Genomic DNA, 21,804 nt, shown 5'->3' on the forward strand with positions numbered 1-21,804 from the left:
CTTGGGCAAACTATACTGTGGATTAAAGTTTACAATGTGAAAAGAAATCAATTTCTCTTCTACTTACTTCTTCAGAATTTTAGAAATGGTGATGATGCGTAATACATTTCTGGTTTCATTTATAGGACTTGAACCTCAAACATGATTGGAATAAGGGCTGGTGGTGGGTGGAAGGCACAAATTTTAATTGGGAAGACAGAAAGATGGTTTTTTGCTAAGACTGAAATTCTTGACAACACTGAGCAGAGTTACAGGATGGCCTAGATGGAGCCAGGGGTGGCTGGGAGAGCCAGTGAACAGATGAACTGACCCAGCCTGGAGTTGCTTTGGAATCTCAAAGTCTGGATTCAAATCCCAGTTCTTCTAGTTTGAGCAAAGAACTTAACCTCCCTGAAATTCAATTTTCTCATTTGGAAAATAGGGACATTACAGGATTTCCCTGAAATTTAATTTTCTCATTTGTAAAATAGGGACATTCTAGGATTTTATGAAGGGGATGATGATGAAGTAAACCCATACAGGCAAGACAATTTCCGTAGTGCCTAGGCCCTATTGTTTGGACTTGTTTCCTTTCAGACCCTTATCAAGCCCAGGTGCCATATGAGACTGGTAAACCTTCTCTGACTTCTCAGGTCTAGAAAGCTGCTTTAAAACATGGATTTTTTTTGTCAAGGGCAGTGGCTCACAGCTGTAATCCCAGCACTTCGGGAGGCCAAGATGGGTGGATCACTTGAGCCCAGGAGTTCAAGACCAGCCTGGGCAACGTGGCAAAACCCTGTCTCTGCAAAAAATACAAAAGTTAGTTGGGTGTGGTGACATGCACCTGTAGTCTCAGCTACCCCGGGAGGCTGAGGTAGAAGAATCACCTGAGTCTGGCAAGTGGAGGCTGCAGTGAGACGAGATCGGGCCACTGCACTCTAGCCTGGGTGATAAGAGTAAGACCCTGTCTCAAAAAACAATCAAACAAACAAAAAAACCCATGGATTTTTGATGCAGTTTGCATTTTAGTTTATTTCATTTCTACTGCTTCCTCTCTCTCCAAATCAAATGCCTTATCTCTTTAGGACTGGTAGATGGGGTTTTCTTAGTAGGTACAAAACTGACTCTTAAGCAAAGAATACACTTCATTTAGAACATCAGCAACTCCCTAGTGGTCTCGTGGTTAGACAAAATAAGTAAATATATAAATATAACAGCAATGACAATGCAACAGAAAACCTCGGTTATCCTGGCAAAAACTCTTCCAGACACTGGAAATGAACACTTTTTTTAGTGATTAGTTTCATTTACTAAAGAGGGTTCACTCTTCAGGGAGACAGCAGAACTAAAGGGAGAAGCAATATGAAAACACTTCAAGGCCATAAACTTACATAAAGGTAAATCTTATCATCAATAATAAGTATGGAATATAACACGTTTGATAAGTGCGAGTGGAGCAAGTAGACAAATCTTCCTCTCCTGCCCTTCTCTGCTCTGGTAGGTTCCAGGGCAGAGCTAAGCTCAGCTCATTTTCTGCTCATCCTTGCTGATTTAATTCAATGAGTCGACCTGCAAACACGGCTAGGGTTCCGATGATGCAAACAAGCATGAAGACTCCGAGGAGTATGTGGTCCATCACCATTGCAACGTACTTCCACTCTGCCGCCGCCTGGGAGAGAGGAAAATGTTAGACAGAGTCTCCCTAAGGTGGTTTCTGGACTCACAACGTTTGTGCTTTGCATCAACTATGGGCCCTTCAATTTGTAGATCTCAAAGTCCTCCCATCCCTTGGCTGGCATCGTCTTTATTTTTTGAATAGATTATTTACAAAGTGATAACTTACTAAGGTGGTCTAGAGGCGGTCACCAGGGTTCATCTTAGGTCAGTAGCTGCCTGTTGTATGCCACCTACTTGTTAAGTCAGACTCACCACCTGTGCTCATACATTTGACCATTTAAACCCAGAGGCATGAATTTCAAGCCACGAAGCTTACATTGTTAGACTCCTGGTCTGACTTCATGGTCTCTGCGATGTACTTGATGCCCTCGATGGCACTTTTCACCTCGGGGTGTTTGATCAGGGGAGAGTGGAAGCCCATGGGTGGAGGCCCTGGCTTTCCAGAAATGTCAGAGATATCAATGTCTTCTGTAAAAATCTTTTTGTCTTGCTTTTCTCTGGATGGTCTTTTCATTGTGGAGAAAAACATGATATTTGGGATAGTGTCGATAAAAACCTAACATAAAAAAGAAATCCATGCATGAGAATTATTGTCCAGGAGGCAAGCATAAAACTCTGTCTTTGAATTATCAATGTGATTTGGGGTAAGTCATTCAGTTTTTCTGGGCTTCAGCCTCCTTGTCCTTAAAACAAAAGAACTATACTAGATTTTTTCAAAGATCCCTCTGTATCCCGGGTCCTGTGAAATGACTATGGTTAACAGTGATGATTCTGTAATGTGAGAAGTTCGCCACTGGAGGGAGCCCATGTGCAGTCATCGACCTGGGGCCACCAATGAGCTTAAAAGCGTCAGGATCCCCTACAGGTATGGAAAATGCCTTAGCAATGTGTCACCAGGATCAAATGGTTAAAGAAGGGGCCCCTCCACTTCAAATATATCCCACAAAACAGCTAGATTGTTTTCTTCTGTTTCCTGTTCCTGAAGAAACTGCAGTACAGGTATTGCCAGCAGTCATCTATCAGCCTTTACAGAAACAGGGACTCTTACTCTCCTCTTAAAAGAGTACATTGTGAGCAGTAGCTTCTTTTGTCAATTCCTGACAAATATTTTACATTCTGGACAAAAGATCCTGGACTTCAGTGTCTCTGTAAAGTTTTGTCAAAGAAAGACATATTTGAAATGTTAAATTTTTAAATTCAATAACGTAACTATTTCAGACCTAGTCCTTCACTAAAACTCACTTTTTGACCCTCTCTCATCAGGAACCCTCCCATCTCTAGCCCTCATTCTATTCATTCTATTCTCAACAGATGATTTCACCAGCAAAAAATAAGCCAGTCTGTTCACAGATTGGAAAACATACAAAAGAAATCGCGAGAATTTCACGGCATTTCAATAAAAAGCAGCCGTTTGTTCATCTTCTCTGATCAAAGAGATTCTTTAAACTTGAATTTGGAATGAGCTTTGTTAATTCTGTTTTTCTTTTCTCTCTGGGAAGGCTACAGGAGTTATTTATTCCTAAAAAGAGGCCAAAGAAAGTTCCTTCCAAAAATTCCCTAAAGCCCAAAGAGAACTTAGTTCCTAAATAGCCCCAAGTATTAGCTAGAAACCCACTGGCTCCTCGAAGGGGAGGCCTGTAGATGTGCCTCCGTGTGAAGTCTGCAGGGGCCTCCCCACTCACCTTCCGCACCCAGTTGGGCATGACATGGGTGCTGGGTGAGCGGTGGTGTGTGTTGATGACGATGACAGTGATGATGATGGAGGCAATGACGAACACCATGGTGAACAGCATGTATTTTCCAATCAAGGGCACAGCACTGGACGTGGAGGGGATCAGCTCCACGATGACCAGAAGGAACACAGTCAAAGACAGTAAGACAGAGATGCTCAGAGTCATCTTCTCCCCTGAAAAGACCAAAAAAAAAAAAAAAAATCCCACAACTACCCATCTGGGTTGGGCTGCAGTGTTCCTCCCACCCCACCATTTATATGTGGAAGTCCTGAGTCCTGGGACCTAAGAATGTGACTGTATTTGAAGACAGGGACTTTAAGGAGGTAATTAAATGAAAACGAGGTGATATGGGGTAGTGAGTAATCAAGTATGACTAGTGTCCTTATAAGGAGAGGAATTAGGACACAGATGCATAGACGGAAGGCCATGGGACACAGGAAGAAGATGGCCATTACAAACCGAGAGAGGCCTCACAAGAAACCAACTCTACTGGCACCTTGATCTTGGAATTCCAGTCTCCAGAACTGTGAGAAATTACATTTCTGTTATCTAAGCCTCACAGCCTATGGTGTTTTGTGTGGCAGCCCAAGCAAACTAATTCACCACTGAAACCCAAGGGTAAGAGGAATGTGACTGACATGTTCTCAAAGCATTATTCTGGGAAATCTCAAAGCATTTTTTTCTGCAGAATTTCCTATGTAACCACCATACCTTAACTTTTCTGACAGCAGCCAGTGGCAAGCATTTCCATTAGAGGCTGCCAAGCAGAAAACGGAACAATATTTCATCTCATGCTCCAGATTTCTGATTCTTGGTGGAACCCAGGGAACTGAAAGGAGTTCTGGGTGGACAAGCTGGACTCGGTGTGGCATTTCCCTTCTGCAGCAGGATGCATTAAACCTCATAAAACGGAACCACCCCTGGCCTATTTCTTACCCAGCAGATGAATGGGCAGCCCAGAAGTACACATATCTTTCTGTTATTGAGGGAGCAAGCTGTAAGACCAAAACCCAAGAAAAGGACAAAATCCGGAAGGCTAAGGAGTTCTCCTTGACGTCCTGAGTGATCTTCTGATACAGTGGTTTCACACCACTCGCTGTCTCATTTTCATATAAGAGGAAGTTTGTCTTCTCACTTATTTCTTGTTTTGTTTTTTTTGCATACTAAGGGAGCAGGGATTTCCCCAGCCCCCACCTCTTTTCTGCAGGCCCTTTGATCTCAGGAGAGTTTTGGCTGGGCAAACTTGGCAGCAGGAAGGTCAGGGGCCGAATGGCACTGAGGTAGTTTTGTGAGGCTTGACCACCTTAGGTGCAGCAGAGAAGCTCTGGGAGGGACTTTCCCTGGGCTGGCCTTGCTGTTGGTGCTGCTGGAAACCCTTGTGTTACCCTGCTTTCAATGATGAAGCTGTCCCCTACTGGCTGCTTCCGGATGCTAGAATATATATAGAATATGTATGTATGTATACGATAAAGAGTGGAAACAAACAAGAAATTGTCAATTCTACCTGGTGGGTAGGAAAACCTTTCAAAGTGAAAAAGAATACAATTACAAATACAAAATATTTGTCCACTTATATAAAATTTGTTGATTAATAATAATGATAATAATAATAGCCAACATTTATCAAGCATAATTTTTGTGCTAAGTGCTTTTCTTTTTTCTTTCTTTCTTTTCTTTCTTTTTTTCTTCTTTTTTTTTTTGTGAGGGAGTCTCACTCTGTTGCCCAGGCTGGAGTTCAGTGGTGCCATCTCAGCTCACTGCAACCTCCGCCTCCAGGGTTCAAGCGATTCTCCTGCCTCAGCCTCCCAAGTAATTGGGATTACAGGCACGTGCCACCACACCTGGCTAATTTTTTGTATTTTTAATAGAGATGGGGTTTCACCATGTTGGCCAGGCTGGTCTCAAACTCCTGACCTCAAGTGATCCATCCGCCTTGGCCTCCGAAAGTGCTGGGATTACAGGTGTGAGCCACTGCATCTGGCCCCTAAGCACTTTTCAAGCACAAATCATTTAACGTTTATAGAGACTCTTGTTAGTTCCCATAATGCCCCGACAGTGTTTTTATTTTAAAAAGTTTCATTTGAGGGCCTGGTGCGGTGGATCATGCCTGTAATCCTAACACCCCGGGAGGCCAAGGCAGGGGGATCACTTGAGGCCAGGAGTCTGAGACTAGCCTGGGCAACATAGCAAGACTCCATCTCTATTTATTTATTTTTTTAATGTAAAAAAGTTTCATTTGATTAGAAAGTTGAAAGAATTGTGTTTGTGATTATTTGTTTAAAAACAAGTGCAGGGCAGGCACAGTGGCTCACACCTGTAATCCCAGCACTTTGGGAGGCCGAGGTAGGCAGATCTTTGAGCCCAGGAGTTCGAGACTGGCCTCGGCAACATGGTGCAACCCCGTTTCTACAAAAAATACAAAAATTAGCCGAGTGTGGTGGCACATGCCTGTAGTCCCAGCTACTCAGGAGGCTGAGGTGAAAGGGTCACTTGAGCTCAGGAGGTTGAGGCTGCAGTGAGCCGTGATCATGCCACTGTACTGCAGCCTGGGCAACAGAGTGAGACCCGGTCTCAAAACAAAAACAAAAATGAAACCCCAAATGCAGTCACTGGAACATGCACTCTGAGGGGTGAGGCACTTTCTGTCTTATTCTCTGCGGTCTATCTACCACATCATATTTGTTCAACAAATATTCACTGAATGAGTAAATGAATAATCTTTTTTCCTAGTTGGCAAGTTGGATTTAAGATTTTGTGGTTTTTTTTTTTTTAAAGTCATTTTGATAAAAATTGCTACCTGTCATAAGCTTGAGGTCTGTCTGTAGCATCTTTCTTTTTTTCAAACTTGTCTGCCATAAGTTGTTTATGAATAGTGACTTGCTGGCAGGCAGATGGGTACCCTTTCCTCCTTTCTGGTGGATTGTTATTGTTTGATAAAATTATGTCACAGATAGGATTACTCAGTAGGAGGTAAGTAAGTTGTCTAGGCTGATATGTGAGAAAGAACAGCCACTTGGGAAGTAGGGTCTTGTGTGTGAAGATGCCACCATCTGGAAAAAAAGATATGCAAAATCTATTTTCAAGTGGTGAGCAGTGGGTAAAGGGGCAAGACCAGGATTAGTCAGTACATAGAAAGTGACTTCATCGTGGAAGTGGCATGAGAAGTGTCTGGGATCACATGCCTTACCCAGTACACTTCTGGGCACACAGTTGGTATTCAGCAAATAGGTATTGGTGGTTAATGTACTTTAACCAGCCTAAGCTACACTGTGCATCTCTAGGGTCATGTTCAACTCCCTGCCGCTCGGGGTGTCTGCCCCAGCTGTGAGCTCCACTCACAGTGACTCTCACCACTGCGCACGCCCACTCAGCAAATGCACCCTCCTAATGATGATGGTTCGGGTCGATCTGCCTGTTTGTTAGCACATGATTATTTCTGGCTTCCCCAAAATAGCAGCACGAGACCCATCAGCGTCAGCAGCAGCAGTCATGGCAACCACACCCACCTGAGTCTGTGGGCAGGTAGAATACCAGGCCAGTTAAGAAGGAGAAGAGCAGGCAGGGGATGATGACGTTGACGATGAAGTAGAGGGGCAGGCGCTGCATGACGAAGTGGTAGGTGATGTCCAGGTAGGGGGTGTCGGGGCAGCAGGAATAGGTCACGGAGTGCTTCCAGCCCCGGGACTCCTTGATCACCCACTCCCCGCTCTCCATGAAGTTGCTCAGGTCTGGCTGGTCGCTTTCCTGAGAAAGGAAGTGAGGTTTGGAAATCCCAGGCAGGTCACCCTGATGAGGGGCAGCGTTTTGTAATCAGCAGTGACAAGGCCACAGATTCCAGCTCTGTGGGTCACACACCCAGGAGGGACTGTGGGACACTACTGCTTTGGGGTCTTAGATGCCTTTCCTATGACATAAGGGGGTTTGGACTAGTAGCATTCTCCATTTTGGCTACACATTCAAGTCACCTGGGAGCTTTAAAACATATTGATGCCCTACCGCCACCCCAGGCCCATTACATCAGAATTCTTGAGACTGAGCCTGGGTGTAGCAAATTAATTTAAGCTCCCATTTAGTTCTCCCTTCCCAATCAACTTGAACCATCAAACTAGATGATTCCTAAGTTCTAACTGGTACTGAGAGCCTATGATTGTCCAAGGAAAAGTTGGAGACCCGAATCACAATTTTCCTGAAACCACCCTTATCATATGTGGCCACCACCTACCGGGTTGATGGCCACGACAGAGCCGTCGTAGGTCCAGGTGCCCAGCTTCATGCTGCAGTTCTGTTCATCAAAGGGAAAGTGGGTGACGATGATCTCACAGTAGCTTTTAAAGATGGCTGGAGGTGTCCACGTGATGTGGCCAGTGTACTGCAGGAGCACTTTGGTGAACTTGACAATAGCAAAGTCACCATCTGCACTACAATTGGGATAAAAGAGGAAAATGGCTCCAAGTGACAGATGAGCCTTCCATTCTGCTTGGGGACGTTAACAGGAGACAGCTGTTAATTATTCAGGTGCTAATTATAGAAGCTCTGTTTCGGGCAGCGTCACTTTTTATCTATTGCAATGTTCCCCATATTTGATAATAAGAATCACTGGGGTGCTTGTTAAAAATACAGAGTTCTGCACACCCTCTAAGTAAACCCTGAATCTGAGTATCTGGGAAAGAATGTGGGAACCCACAGTTTTAAAGAAATAACAGGTAACATGGGTCCACTGCATCCCAGATTATTTTTCCAGCCCTCACAAGTATTTGTAATGTTAATCTTCATCTATCACCTCCCTGATGTACTATGTTGGGGAAAAAAAACACAGGAATTTTACATAAAACACCTCCAGCGACTCATTACTGCGACAAGCAGGTTAGGGAAGGGGCCTACTACTCTTTTTTTTTTTTTTTTTTTTTGAGATGGAATCTCGCTTTGTCACCCAGGCTGGAGTGCAATGGTGCAATCTTGGCTCACAGCAACCTCCACCTCCCGGGCTCAAGCAATTCTCCTGCCTCAGCCTCCCAGGTAGCTGAGATTACAGGCACCCACCAAACACCCAGCTAATTTTTGTATTTTTAATAGAAACTAGGTTTCACCATGTTGACCAGGCTGGCCCTGAATTCCTGACCTCAAGTGATCCGCCTGCCTTGGCCTCTCAAAGTGCTAGGATTACAGGAGTGAGCCACCGTGCCTGACTGGCCTACTACTTTTTAAAGAACGATTTAGAACTCATTGGGGTGGACTCACAAACTCAGATATCTCCAGGGCCAGGCAGGTGAGGAATGAGTGCAGGCTGACACTGCTGAACAGAGCGCCCCTCTCTCCTGTCAGGAAGGTGCCACCTTGCAGTGTCCCCTGAGGCGCCCATGTGGGAATGAAGGCCCAATCTTGCCAGATTTGGATTCTTCCTCGGAAGCTGGAAACTTAGATTTTTTTTCTTTTTTTTTTTTGAGATGGAGTCTCCCTCTGTTGCCCAGGCTGGAGTGCAGTGGCGTGATATCGGCTCACTGCAAGCTCTGTCTCCTGGGTTCCCACCATTCTCCTGCCTCAGCTCCCGAGTAGCTGGGACTACAGGCGCCCACCACCACGCCCAGCTAATTTTTTGTATTTTTAGTAGAGACGGGGTTTCACCATGTTAGCCAGGATGGTCTTGATCTCCTGACCTTGTGATCTGCCCGCCTCAGCCTCCCAAAGTGCTGGGATTACAGGCGTGAGCATTGCGCCCAGTGAAACGTAGATTTTTTTAAATCAAAAATTGCCAGACTTTGCCAGGTACAGTGGCTCATGCCTGTAATCCCAGCACTTTGGAAGACTAAGGCAGGAAGATCGCTTGAGTCCATGAGTTTGAGACCAGCCTGGCCAACAGCGAGACCTCATCTCTACTAAATTTTCTTTAAAAATTAGCGAGGCATGGTGGTACACACCAGTAGTACCAGCTACCTGGGAGGTTGAGGCAGAGGATTGCTCAAGCCCCAGAGTTCAAGGTTGCAATGAGCTATGATCACACCACAACACTCCAGCCTGAGCAATGGAGCAGAGACCTTGTCTCAAAAAAAAAAAAAAAAATCTGGAAGTTTAAATGTTGGATTTTTCTAGAGAGGCTAAAAAATAGATTTTAATGTGATGTTTCTTGGTTTTCAAATGTTGGCAATGATTTATTATTTTTAAAAAGACAGAAACCATGGGAGGTTCTAAAAAAACAAAATAAGCCATTTCTGCCGGCCTTATTCAGTGGACTACTTACTCTTCCCGTAAACAGCAGTCTGTTCAAGGGATTTAGCAGAGGGCAGGGTGTTAGAATAAGTGTTGAATGGGCAGGATGAGGTCTGTCTCAGTGGGATTTCAGGGACATCATGGCATATGTTGGTCCCTCATGTCATAAATCAAGAGGTTTTCTTCCCATTGATTTTTCCTTGGGCCTGAAGTGGGCTCTTTACCTGGAAAACTATGTGGCATTGGACCCACCCAAAGCAGCCCCAAAGGGCAGAGAGTCATAGGGTTGTCTTAGTCTCTCCCAATAAGCAACAAAACAGTGTTCTCTCCTCACCAGGGTGATCCTGAGTGAGTTTGGCAAAAGAACCAAAGGATTTTAATTGCTCTTCTCAGATTCCTACTGGAAGAGAAACTGAAAGATACTTCATCAGCCCATTTGTCCAAAAAGATTACACAAATGATCGGATAATTTGGCTCAAGCTTGAACCCCAGGTATAATTGGATGACGTGTGGCAGAAAATCAAAGCTTGAAAAGGCCCGCCTTAAAAGGTATCGTTTTCATCCACTAGCCCTGTCACCTTCCCTAAGTCTGCTAGGACACACAGCTTGTGGACCCCCGACACATGTTGTATAATGTCAGACCATAAATCCTCCCGGCCGGTGTTGCATGCTCCTGCCTGGGAAGGATGCTTTTTGAAACGAGCATTTCCTGACAAATGAAGGGCGTATGCTAATGAACGTGTCATTAGACCAGAACGTCTTGAATAATATTATAATTTCACAACATGCAGTCTGTCGTGGGGCCCAGTGGATGGGCAGTGAAGGCATCCCAGGCCAACAGCAGCAGTGGATGTCGAGAAGGTGTTCAGGATGTGATGAGTGACAACCCTAGGAGGCTCAGAAATATTTGGTAGGGAAGACACTAGATTGCAAGGAATTCAGCGATAGGACGTTTGGGTGCCTTGGAAAGTTGCCACACATGCTTCAGGGGCTCTCAGGGATCAAATGTCCCCCACCCTCAGCCTGGATTCAATTTGGCCGCAGTAATCCCTTCTCTTTAAGTCATGAGACACCATATGGCACCCCTAGCCCGTCAACTTGGCTCTTGGTTTAGAGTGATTTTTTTTTTTAATTTTGTAGAGATGTTGTCTTGCTATGTTGCCCAGGCTGATCTCAAACTCCTGGCCTCAAGCAATCCTCCCACCTTGGCCTCCCAAAGTGCTGAGTTTACAGGTGTGAGCCACCATCCTGGGTGATTTAACATTAGCAGTGGTGAGAAGCATTCCGAGCGCGCAGCCCTTCTATTAGGGCACTTTATTCCACCTGCCCCAGGAGCACCCTCCGCCACCCATGCAGTTTGCTCACTTGTTATAGAGAACAAGGTCTGGGCGCCAGATCTTTTCTGAAGGAATGTGAATTTTTTTCACACCGCCATAGTCATCTGGATTCCATTTTAGGTTGTAATCCACCCATTGCTAGAAACAAAGACATACAGCTAATTAAAAAGCCAAAAACACTTTCTAAAATCTAAGGTTATCAAGAGCCCTGATGTGCATGGGAATTCAGTATTGACAGAAATTGTGCTTCCATAAGAAAAGTTGGATTCAGAATTTAGCTTTCACTTCAGTAAATAAGAACAGCAAATATATAGCACTGACGACGTGCTCACACTGTTTCAAACAACTTACCTATATTAACTCATTTAGTCCTCACAACAATCCCGTGAGGGGAGGGTGATTACTGACCTCATTCTGCAGATGAGAAAACAAAGGAACTCCCAAAGTCACGCAGCTGGGGCGTGGCAGATCTACCATGTCACCCTGTCCACCCACAGAAAAGGAGAAAGACCTAGTGTGAACGTTTTTCTCAAGCAGGCAACATCATTTTTAAAAAGTACCATATATTTTTCTACATTATAAAAGTAAAGTCTGGGCATGGTGGCTCATGCCTGTAATCCCAGCACTTTGGGAGGCTGAGGTGGGTGGATCACCTGAGGTCAGGAGTTCGAGACCAGCCTGGCTAACATAGTGAAACCTCGTCTCTATTAAAAACACAAAAATTAGCCGGGCGTGGTGGTAGGCGCCTGTAGTCCCAGCTACTTGGGAGGCTGAGGCAGGAGAATCGCTTGAACCTGGGAGGCAGAGGTTGCAGTGAGCCGAGATCGCGCCATTGCACTCCAGCCTGGGCGACAGAGTGAGACTCTGTCTCAAAAGAAAAGTAATACAGGTTGAGGATCCCAAATCTGAAATCCAAAATGCTCCGAAATCCAAAATGCTCCAAAATCCAAAACTTTTTGAGCACCAACATGACACTCAGGAAATGTTCACTGGAGAATTTTGAATTTCAGATTTTCAGATTTGGGAAGTTTAACTGGTAAGTATATGCAAATATTTCAAAATAAAAACCAAAATCTGAAACACTTCTGGTCCCAAGCATTTTGGGAAAGGAGTACTCCACCTGTATGTGCCCATTGCAGTAAAGCTGGAAAGCACAATGCTATGGGTTCAATTGTGTCCCCCTAAAATTCATGCTGAAGCGCTAACTCCCAGTATTTCAGAACGTGACCTAATTTGGAGATAGGTTCTTTACAGAGGTAATTATGTTAAAATGAAGTCATTAAAATAGACTGTCATTCAATATGACTGGTGTCTTCATAAAAAGGGGGAATTTAAAGATATATATGTATTTAAATATACATATATATTCATATATATCATATGTATATGTATCACATACACAAGAAGAACGCCATCTGAACATAAAGACAGTCATCTACAAGCTGAAGAGAGAGTCCTAGGACAGATTCTTCCTCACAGCCCTCAGAAGGAACCAACCCTACCAATACCTAGACTTTGGACTTCTATCTTCCAGAGCTATGAGATGATAAATTTCTGTTGTTTAAGCCACACAGTTATGGCAGCCCTAGCAAACTAACACACACAGAAAAAGCCCTAAAGTTTAAAAAAAAGCAAAACCAAAACCAAACAGGATCCATGCTTTCACCATCTCAAAATATCTACTTTCAACATTTTGGTATATATCCCTGTTACCCATATTGATTTCCTCTGGGCCCAGGTTTAATTTCAGTGTGAATGAAAACGACACACATGCAATTATCTGGCTAAGTTACCTGTTTCAGACGCACATTGGTTGTCACGATCTGATTTACTTCATCCTGGAAAAAAAAATAAGGATCATTTTTATGGGGGAGAGAGGGGACCCAGGGGAGGAAACCCAGGGGTGAGAGGTGTGGGTGTGTGGGCAGGCCCCCAGTGCTCTTGTCTCACCACATTGATGAGCTGTATCAGCTGCAGGCCCACGGTGACCTCCACGACCTGGCGGTGGTCTTCCACTGGCCGCACCACGCTGCTGTAGTCTTTAAATAGCTTTGCCACCAGACGGGTCTCATGTTCGGAGCCCAGGACGAGGCCAGCTGAGACAGCAGATGACACCAACACTGTCAGATTCTTCTCCCCACCCTCCAAACACATGAACATGAGGAACTGAGGAACTGAGGCATAAGCCTCAGTTCCTTCTAACAGAAGGCACACAGGCCTCCTTGTTGAAAGGCTCCCAAATGCAGCAGTTATTGCCTTGTGTTTTTCCAATTACAGTTGCTGGTGTGGTCCCTTACCCGGTGACAGTGGGGTGTGCCAGGTAATCACAACGCTTGTACTTTGGACAGGTGACATTCCTTCATACAGCCTGGCTGAATCAAGTTTGCCAGGTACACACACACACACACACACACACACACACGAAAAAAAAGCCCACAAAAAAGCCAATCTCAGTGTTTCAGAGCAGTGTAATGAAATCTTGGACTGGCTGCATCAGATCTCAAGATGCCATGAACAGCCAAAATTGATGCTGGTTCAAACCCACTAGAGTGGCCATAACTAACAAGTGGAAAATAACAAGGGTTGGGGAGGTTGCAGAGAAACTGGAACCTCATATGTTGCTGGTGGGAATGTAAAATGGCAGTTCCTCAACAAGTTAAACACAGGTACCATACGATCCAGCAATTCCACTCCTAGGTCCACACCCAAAAGAAGAGCAGCATTATTTACCATAGCCAAAGGGTGGAAACAACTCAAGTGTCCATCAACAGGTAAATGGATGGACAAATTATGGTATACCCCTACGATGAACTATTATTCAGACATGAAAAAGGAATAAAGGAATGATGTACTGACACATGGTACAACATGGATGGAGCTTGGAAACATTTTACTAAGTGAAAGAAGCCAGACACAATGGGGCAAATATTGTATGATTTCATCTACATGAAGCATCCAGAATAGGTAAATCTATACAGACAGAAAGCAGAGCAGGAGTTACCAGGGACTGGGGGGGAGAGAGGGATCGGGTGGGACTCCTTAATGTGCTTGATGTTTCCCTTTGGGATGATGAAAACGTTCTGGAAATAGATAGTGGTGATGGTCTTATAACATGTGAATGTACTTAATGCCACTGAATTGTATACTTTAAAGTGGTTAAAATGGTAAATTTTATGAAATGGGTATTTTACCACGATTTTTTAAAATATCACTGCTGGCAGGTCCATGTCCCAGTTAAGTTGTTAAAATAGAGTGAAAACTGTGCTTTGTTGACCTGGGTTTGGGGCTCCTAGTTGGAACATAAGCGATTCCAAGGAATCTTTACTACATTTTCCTTCAGTATAGAGAGCAATATCATCTAATACTCTCAGAACCCACGGCCCCCTTTTCTATCTACACCCCTTTTCAATCTTCATCAGCCACAGATGAAGCAGGAGGGCAGACATTCTTACCTGAGATTCAGGGAGGTTGGACCACTTGTCCAAGGTCATGTGACCAGTAAGGGCAAAGCTCAGATTGGAATCCTGTCATTTTGTGCTGAGCTTCTGGGCTAATTCTTGGTACTAACAGTGTGTTGTGAGCTGTCCTGGAAACTCAGAACTGCAAGTGCCACTATTCCTATGAGAAAATGTGTTCCAAATCCCAAGTGTCTTATGAAGGATCTTTGTAATTCAAGCCTTCCGTGGGTTGGGGACTGTGTGTTCAGAGCTGGGAGAGGAAGTAGACACATGATACATTTGCCTTCATTCACGTAACCAGATCTCCCCTTTCCGCAGGTTATTGCTGAGGCTGCAGTGCAGTAGCTCAATTACAGCTCACTGCAGCCTTGACCTCCCAGGCTCAAGCAATCCTCCCACCTTAGCCTCCCCCAACCAAGCAGCTGGGACCACATCTCTATAAAAAATACAAAAATTACCTGGGTGCGCACCACCACACCCAGCTAATTTTTGTATTTTTTGTACAGATGGGGTTTTGCCACATTGTTCAGGCTGGTCTCAAACTCCTGAGCTCAAGCCATCCACCCACCTCATCCTCCCAAAGTGCTGGGATTACAGGCAAGAGCCACCTCACCCGGCTAGTTTCACACGTTTTCTGAACCCAAAATGTTCCAAGGGCACTCAGTGCCCAACCACGCAGAGATTTCACATGACATTTCCCTAAAGCCACCTGCATTTGAGGACTCTTGAAGGGAATATGTTGTTTGAATATTCCGTTTTTGCAACCACCCCATTGAGCCCCTGGGACTTGATAATCCTTCTGTCCTCTATGCATTTTCTATCCTGGGCCTCATCCATCCCATGGTGGAGTTGCAGACTGGAATGGATTACTGAGCACCTTGGCCATTGAATTTGAAGCTGTTGCTTTGGCCTTGCCTTGGGCTGCTTATTTTTAAATGACTGTTCACTCCAGTTTGACAGGAAGAACATATTAGAAAGCAGAGGGCAGAGCAGATGGTCAGCATTATGTAGCAGGAGAACTATGCAGACCAACCCTATGGCCCACTAAGAGGAAGGGGAGGATGACAGAAGCAGACATAATCAGCATTTCAGAGACAGTCACCTCCTCCTTTCCCACCCTAGCCAATAACAAGGTGCCTGTTCCTTCCATAAGGAATTTCTAAGGAAGGAGGGCTTCATTTCTTAGATTGGTTCACTGGTATTCTTTTCTTTTTTCCTCCCCAGCACAGGGTAGAGTGATAGAAAACTCACAGGGCTCAAAGTCAGAACTCTATGATTCTCTTCCCAACTCCCATATGGCCTGGAGAGTTGGATTAGTTCTTCATGGATTCAACGAATCACAGTAAATACTTTTGTAAAAAGGTAGGGTGTAAATAAACAAATATGCAAATAAAAAATTAAATAATGTCAAATTCCCCTTTTTAGCAAGATTATATTTGTAATCTTTATTCAGATGATGGTAACATTAATTTATTCATGAAATATTTGTTGAGCATTTACTGTAAGCAAAGCATTGTTTTGGGAGCTTCGAGATATTCAAAACTGAATCCTTCTTCCTACCCTCATGGAGATTGACATTTGTCATTTACGTAAATAACTGTGAACAAGTTGGAAAGTGATATGCCGTAAGAAAGACGGCAATGAAGTGCTTGAGATTCCAGAGGCAAAGAAAAGAAAAAGTTGAAATGAAAAGTGCTGTATAAATAGAACAGAGATCACGCTGTGTTAAGCTAACACAGGAAAAGAGTCCCTGATATAAATGACAATTTTGTCTACAAAGGACTGATTCTAAGAAGGGAAACTCAACCACAGTTTCAAAGTGTTCCTTTTGTACCACACTGGTTCCATTTGTATTTGTATGTAGGAAATAGCTCCCTGGGCTGGGCAAAAGAAATTTTGAACTGTTACTAGTCCCATGGATCATTATTATCTTAACCTGATTCTGTATCTCTTGCTACCTTTGGCTAGTTCAGGCTGTGTTTTCTGACTGTGCATGTAATAAACCAAGTCTCCAACTGACCACATTCCAAAATGTATAAATTAAGTGACCTTGGGCAGGTCAGCTTTAGTTTCCTTGTAATAAAAAATTGAGGATGTTGGACTGCCTGATCTAGCTCTAAATTTCTATAAAACACCCATGGAAATCAATGCCAGCAAACTCGAGATTTGACCTAAATACATATCACATACTTCTTTAATAGCTAATCATGCATTTTTGGTTAGCAATAACCAAAATCCTAAGAGATCTCTTAAGGATGTTTACATTAAAGCATATCATTTAAGAATTTTCCTGTGACTGTGGTTTTGCGTGCACGCATGTGTGTGCACGCGCGCGCACACACACACACACACACACACACACATCAGGCCAGCTTTGGCTGGACAGAGTCCAAATCCCACATGATATAATTTATCTGAGTTTAGGCTCTTTCACTCAACTCTGATATTGAAAAAAATTAATAATAAAGCTTTTTGCCTCTTGACCAGAAGGCCTGTGTTTTTCAGAGCAATATTGGAAATGAAAAATCACAGGATGTCAGCCACCTTGTTTCTCAGTTGGGATGATATCACCAGTAAACTTTTATGTGAAGCAATCAGCAAACATCTCCTGTTTCCCTCTAGCGGAAGTCTGGGATTCAGGATGGTGTTTCAGCTGCTGTGTTAGGACACATTCCAGAGTAGAATGCAGGTCAAATGCTGTGCAAGGTTTTATAGTTTCAATTCAAACCCAAACCTATATATAGTAACATCTTAAAAAAAAAAAGTAGGTAGGAATGTATTCATATGGAATTTTTTTTAACTTCAGAAATTTTGAAAAAATTAAAAAATATTTGTCTCTGTGGAGAGAGTTTAGTTATGATTATTAACTGGTTTCTATCTCCAGCACATGTAGCTGTCAATCAGTCCTCTTTATTATTAGAATTCTCCTGGAGCAGTAAAGGGACTTGTTAACTCCATTGTATGTGATTATAAGGCACTGTTCTAAGTATCCATAGTTGTTTAAATATGAACCCCCGGACACTACCATGATCCACAAGTGGTCCAGGTCCTACAAATGGTGCCGAGTGTTCAGAGGGATGAGTCGGCTGCCAGGCATGATGGAGGGAGAGACATGCGTGTCTATCTTGAAGTCTTTGACCAGGCAGTTTCTATTTTAATTAGATAAGGCAAACTAAAAATCTTTATCCAAAAACTCAATCAAGCTAACATCAGGAAGAAACTGACAGAGCAGCCCCTGGTTGGGGAGGCTCTGCCATTCTGTGGTCTCATCAAAGAAGCAAGACTTTGATTTGGGGGCCTCCAGCACTTTAGCCTCAAAGGAGAGCCCTCTCCCCACCCCTGACCCCAGCACTTACCTGAGCAAAGGCTAAAGAGCAGGAGGAGAGGCCAGGGCTCCATGGGCTACCGGAGCTTGTGTGGACCAGGGCAGAGTGGTGGCCTGTGCTTCTCACTGGCACTCTGGCTGGGTGCTTGTCTGCTGGAGGGTTTGGAAAGCGAGTCGGCTCACTAGAGCTATTGTTTTACACCACCTGTTTGTGGGAGCGACAGCTGGGCTGCCCTCAGCCCTGGAGCCCAGGGAGTTACTGGGACTGTACACCATTACAGATATGCCTCACTTTACACAATTGCTTACCCTTGACAAGCTGAGTATGAACTGCATTATATTTTAAATGCACCAGTAGTCAGATCTTAATGAAAAAAAAATGTATAGGAAGGAAGGAATTATTTTAAATGGTGAGCAAACTGCCTCTCTTTTGTGTAAACCAGAACCTCATCTCTGTGGGTTGACTTGATTAGGGTCATTTGGTCTGAGTAGATAGTCAGCTGTTTGTCCTAAACCACAAAAATCCACATTCTGCAAACATGGCTTCAGTTTCATTTCCTCTGCTTCAGTGTTAGGCTGAGGGTGCCGGGGGCTTTTCTGACTGCCTGGATTTCAGAAAAGTGTAGCTGGTGTTGAGTCTGCTGCTGGGAAGCCCCCACGTTGATTGGGTTTGGTTTTTAACAAAGACAGCTTCTTCCATAAAACTGGCTTTACTGGCCCCCAGAGTGGCTGTTCCAACCCCTGCCTCTGTATCAGGCAATACCTATCCCACACGAACCATTAGCTGGAGCAAATTGCCCACGTCCTATGCACTGTGATTCAAGCGAAGAGTAATTATTGGGAAAAAGTGTCCCACCGCATCAGCAGTCGTTCCGGGTTCCTGCCTCCTTCCATCCGTCCCTCTGCCTACTCTCACTCAGGGAAGCAAAGAGCAGAGTGGTTCAGCTTTTCAATTATCTTGCTTGAAAAACATCCTAAAAACCAGCAGTTAGTAATTTCTCAGTCTGAGAAGTATTGTTACCCTAGCTGTGCTTCTTTGCAGGGTGTGAGGTGAGTTCCCAGAAGGAGACAGTTACTTAAAGGTACCCTGCCTGTTCCTTCCAGGCCTCCTTCCCACATGGAACTAGGTGAGAAAGGTCCTCTCACCTCAAGCCCACAACAACATCCTGACAGATCCTCTCATTCCAGTGGATCCAAACAAATCATTAGAGAAGGGGCTTGGAGGGTAGAGGAGAGAGCTGCAAGCTCATACTATTTATATTTTTTGTTTAAACTGTGGGAGATCAGTTAACTGTTTGCTAAAAAAAAATTTGGTTCTCTCCCTTCCATGGAATAGCCCCGTGGCAGAAATACAACCCCCACCCTCTGACCAGCCCCTTCCATCTAAATGGAGCCATGGGACTGACCTCTGGCCAGTGGCATGAGTGGAAAAATGTTCTCAGACTCACAAACCTACCAGAGCTCAGCCCCGCCCTTCTAGTCTTCTGACCGGCTAGAATGGACATGGTCCCAAAGTTAACCTTAGAAACCATGTTCTGAAGGTGGTGTTGCTTTTGACATTCTGAATCCTTGAATGACTGCATGGAGGGGGACCCCCTATCCACCTGCTCACCACCCAGCACTATTTCAATGAAAACAAAACATGCATCGTGCTGAGCCATCAAAATCCTTGGGTTTATTTGTACAGCAGCTAGTGTTCCGTAATTAATAAAATATGTAATCCTTTGCACTAGTATCCTGAGGTTAAAAATAAATTCTAAAATATGTAGCACTGCAGCAGAAGGCAAGAAAATTGATACTGGAGGCTGAAAATATGAAGACCCATGTTATATGGTATCAAATCATTTCATAAACTGTTGTCCTCAATTACTTGGTGAACAATGTGTCTACTGAGCCTGTAGCTCCCAGAATAGAGGCTGGTAAACCCAAAGTTAGTGCACCATGGCTCTTTCTGGCTTTGTTTAGCAAGTCAGTACAAGGAAGAGCTGAGCTCAGGCAAAAATGTGCTGGTTCAAGAGCAGAAATGAAAAGAAATAGAATGAGTCCAGAAATGTGGAGTCTTCTGTTTTGAACTTCAAAAGAGTAAGTGAAAACATGGAATAAAGGCTTTGAGCAACCAAAGCCCGTTAAGACTTCTCTTTAAACAGGCAGTTTCATCACCACAGCAAAGATCACTTTAAGGGTGCTTTCTTCACAGCCAAATCTATTTTTTTTTTCAGATGGCTTCAAGATGGCTGCTATTAAGTTGAAGGAGAGAGGTATAGTGGTTAGGATGCAAAGAAATTAATCAGATTAAAGAATTGTGACCATGTGTGTATATAGGCACATGGGAATGATGGAAACAAATATTGCAGAAGCTTACTCAGTATTTGAAGGAATTATATTGCCAAAGAGTTCATTAACCCAGGCTACAAAAGTTTTGGTTGTTCAAGGCTTAAAGCAGTCCTTGAGTTCCCAAACACACACGGCCAGAAAGCAGGCTCCAAGATCTGCACAGTCTTCCAAAAAGGGTGCTTTCTCCATCCCCTCCTTCAATTGTGGCCGTGAGGGAAAGTGGGCAAGGAAGAACCTCCCCGGGGCATAGCCAGGAACCTCAAACAGCAACGGACAAGGGAGTTCCACCCACAGAGCAGAATCGGGTCGAATCGAGGAATCTGTTGAGACCTTCTCTGTGCCTACCCTGGCTTTCTGCTTACTGCCAATGCCTGCAACCCTGTAACCGAGGGATTTTTTTTTCTTTTTTTTTGGCCATGGGAACACATGAAACAAGCCTGAGATGCTAAAGTGTTACTGCCTCCAGAAACAGGCCTCAACCAATGTTGGAGGATAAATATCCCCGCCCCATCTCCCCTTGGACTGGGTAACCCCCAAGCGTGCCCTACACTCTATGTCTGTGGGAGTGAGTTCCTGTTGCCCATGATGGAAATGGCTCAATAACCCTCCCTTTATTGGCTTCCTCTCCTTCTCTGTCTCTTCTCCCCAATCTGCCACCTCTCAAGTCAACTCAATACAGGGTCAGGGGGACCTCAACTCAAGACAGAATTTCTCCCACTGCCTGGCATGGGGTCTTCACAGTGATATCATTGGAGGCTTTCCCCCTTTATTGCCACAGTTTAAACAAACTGTGATCTCCCACAATTTAAACAAAAAAATCTCTTCTAAAGGTGAACAGTTGAAACCATAGACTAAAAAAAATTACTAAAACTACTATTAATATTATCCTCAGGAGTAAACTGTTTTTTTCATTTAAAAGTTTATTATTCAAGTAATTTGAATTTATTTTAGAGAAATTAGAGAACAGATGAATGAAAAGACCTGCTATCCTTCTACCCAGAATATTTATTTTGATGTTTTAGTTTGTGTCTGTTCAGACCCTGTTTCCATGCATTCCATTCATTCATTCACTAAAAATTTTTTCACTGGGTTTTGCTATGTGCCAAGCAGTGTTCTAGGCATTTGGAATACATCAATAAACACAGCAGACAAAGATTCCTGGTTCTCAGGAAAAATGCATTCTAATTGGAGGAGATGGATGATTAAAAAAATATATATTTTTTACAATTTATTTTTATATATATTACATATGTTATATATTACATAAATAAGATATATATCCTTTTAACAATTTATTTTTATATCATATGTTATATAATATATGGTTATATATTATATATATACATATATGTTTGACTGTATATGTTTACATATATGTTTACATGTATTATATGTTTACATATATTATATATAAACATATATTATATATACATATACATATATTATAAATAAAATATATATAAATGTATATATAAATATATTTATATATTTATATATGAAATACATATATTATATATAAACATACATAATATATAAACATTATATATTATATATAATATACAAACATATACAATAAATTATATATGTAAACATATACAATAAATTATATATGTAAACATATACAATAAATTATACATGTAAACATATATAATATATAAATTGTAAAAAGATGTATATTTTTTATTTATATAAAATATATATTTTTATATATTTTTTCTTATATGTTATATAAATAAGATATATATAATTTATATAAG

General features: G+C 43.1%; 1 protein-coding gene across 4 annotated transcripts, besides 4 other annotated features; it reads right to left on the reverse strand.

The window, feature by feature from the left end:
- Positions 985-17,865, reverse strand: CHRNA1 (cholinergic receptor nicotinic alpha 1 subunit). Of its 4 annotated transcripts, NM_001039523.3 has the most exons (10): positions 17,745-17,865; positions 12,881-13,026; positions 12,724-12,768; positions 11,339-11,413; positions 10,959-11,068; positions 7,612-7,807; positions 6,896-7,133; positions 3,339-3,562; positions 1,973-2,212; positions 985-1,648 (listed from the first exon to the last, which is right to left on the reverse strand). In NM_001039523.3, the coding sequence occupies exons 1-10, from the start codon at positions 17,785-17,787 to the stop codon at positions 1,517-1,519; spliced, it is 1,449 nt and encodes a 482-aa protein (NP_001034612.1). In that variant the 5' UTR covers positions 17,788-17,865; the 3' UTR covers positions 985-1,516. The 4 variants fall into 4 exon arrangements, with proteins under 4 accessions (NP_001034612.1, NP_000070.1, XP_016858745.1 ...); NM_000079.4 differs by lacking the exon at positions 11,339-11,413; XM_017003256.2 differs by lacking the exon at positions 17,745-17,865 and having other exon boundaries at positions 12,881-13,298.
- Positions 4,511-4,690: an enhancer, noted in NCBI's record as "active region_16786". NCBI's record gives its function as "activates an Ori minimal core promoter by ATAC-STARR-seq in GM12878 lymphoblastoid cells {active_cell/tissue: GM12878}" and the evidence as "EXISTENCE:reporter gene assay evidence [ECO:0000049][PMID:35858748]".
- Positions 6,038-6,107: a silencer, noted in NCBI's record as "silent region_12130". NCBI's record gives its function as "represses an Ori minimal core promoter by ATAC-STARR-seq in GM12878 lymphoblastoid cells {active_cell/tissue: GM12878}" and the evidence as "EXISTENCE:reporter gene assay evidence [ECO:0000049][PMID:35858748]".
- Positions 15,274-15,568: a silencer, noted in NCBI's record as "tiled region #14969; HepG2 Repressive non-DNase unmatched - State 21:Repr". NCBI's record gives its function as "represses a minimal TATA promoter and a strong SV40 promoter by Sharpr-MPRA in HepG2 cells {active_cell/tissue: HepG2}" and the evidence as "EXISTENCE:reporter gene assay evidence [ECO:0000049][PMID:27701403]".
- Positions 17,866-18,365: an enhancer, noted in NCBI's record as "H3K4me1 hESC enhancer chr2:175629201-175629700 (GRCh37/hg19 assembly coordinates)". NCBI's record gives its function as "activates a minimal SCP1, AML or CMV promoter by ChIP-STARR-seq in naive H9 embryonic stem cells {active_cell/tissue: H9 hESC(naive)}" and the evidence as "EXISTENCE:reporter gene assay evidence [ECO:0000049][PMID:30033119]".

This window comes from Homo sapiens, chromosome 2 (genome assembly GCF_000001405.40).
Source record: "Homo sapiens chromosome 2, GRCh38.p14 Primary Assembly".
NCBI classification, from domain to species: domain Eukaryota; kingdom Metazoa; phylum Chordata; class Mammalia; order Primates; family Hominidae; genus Homo; species Homo sapiens.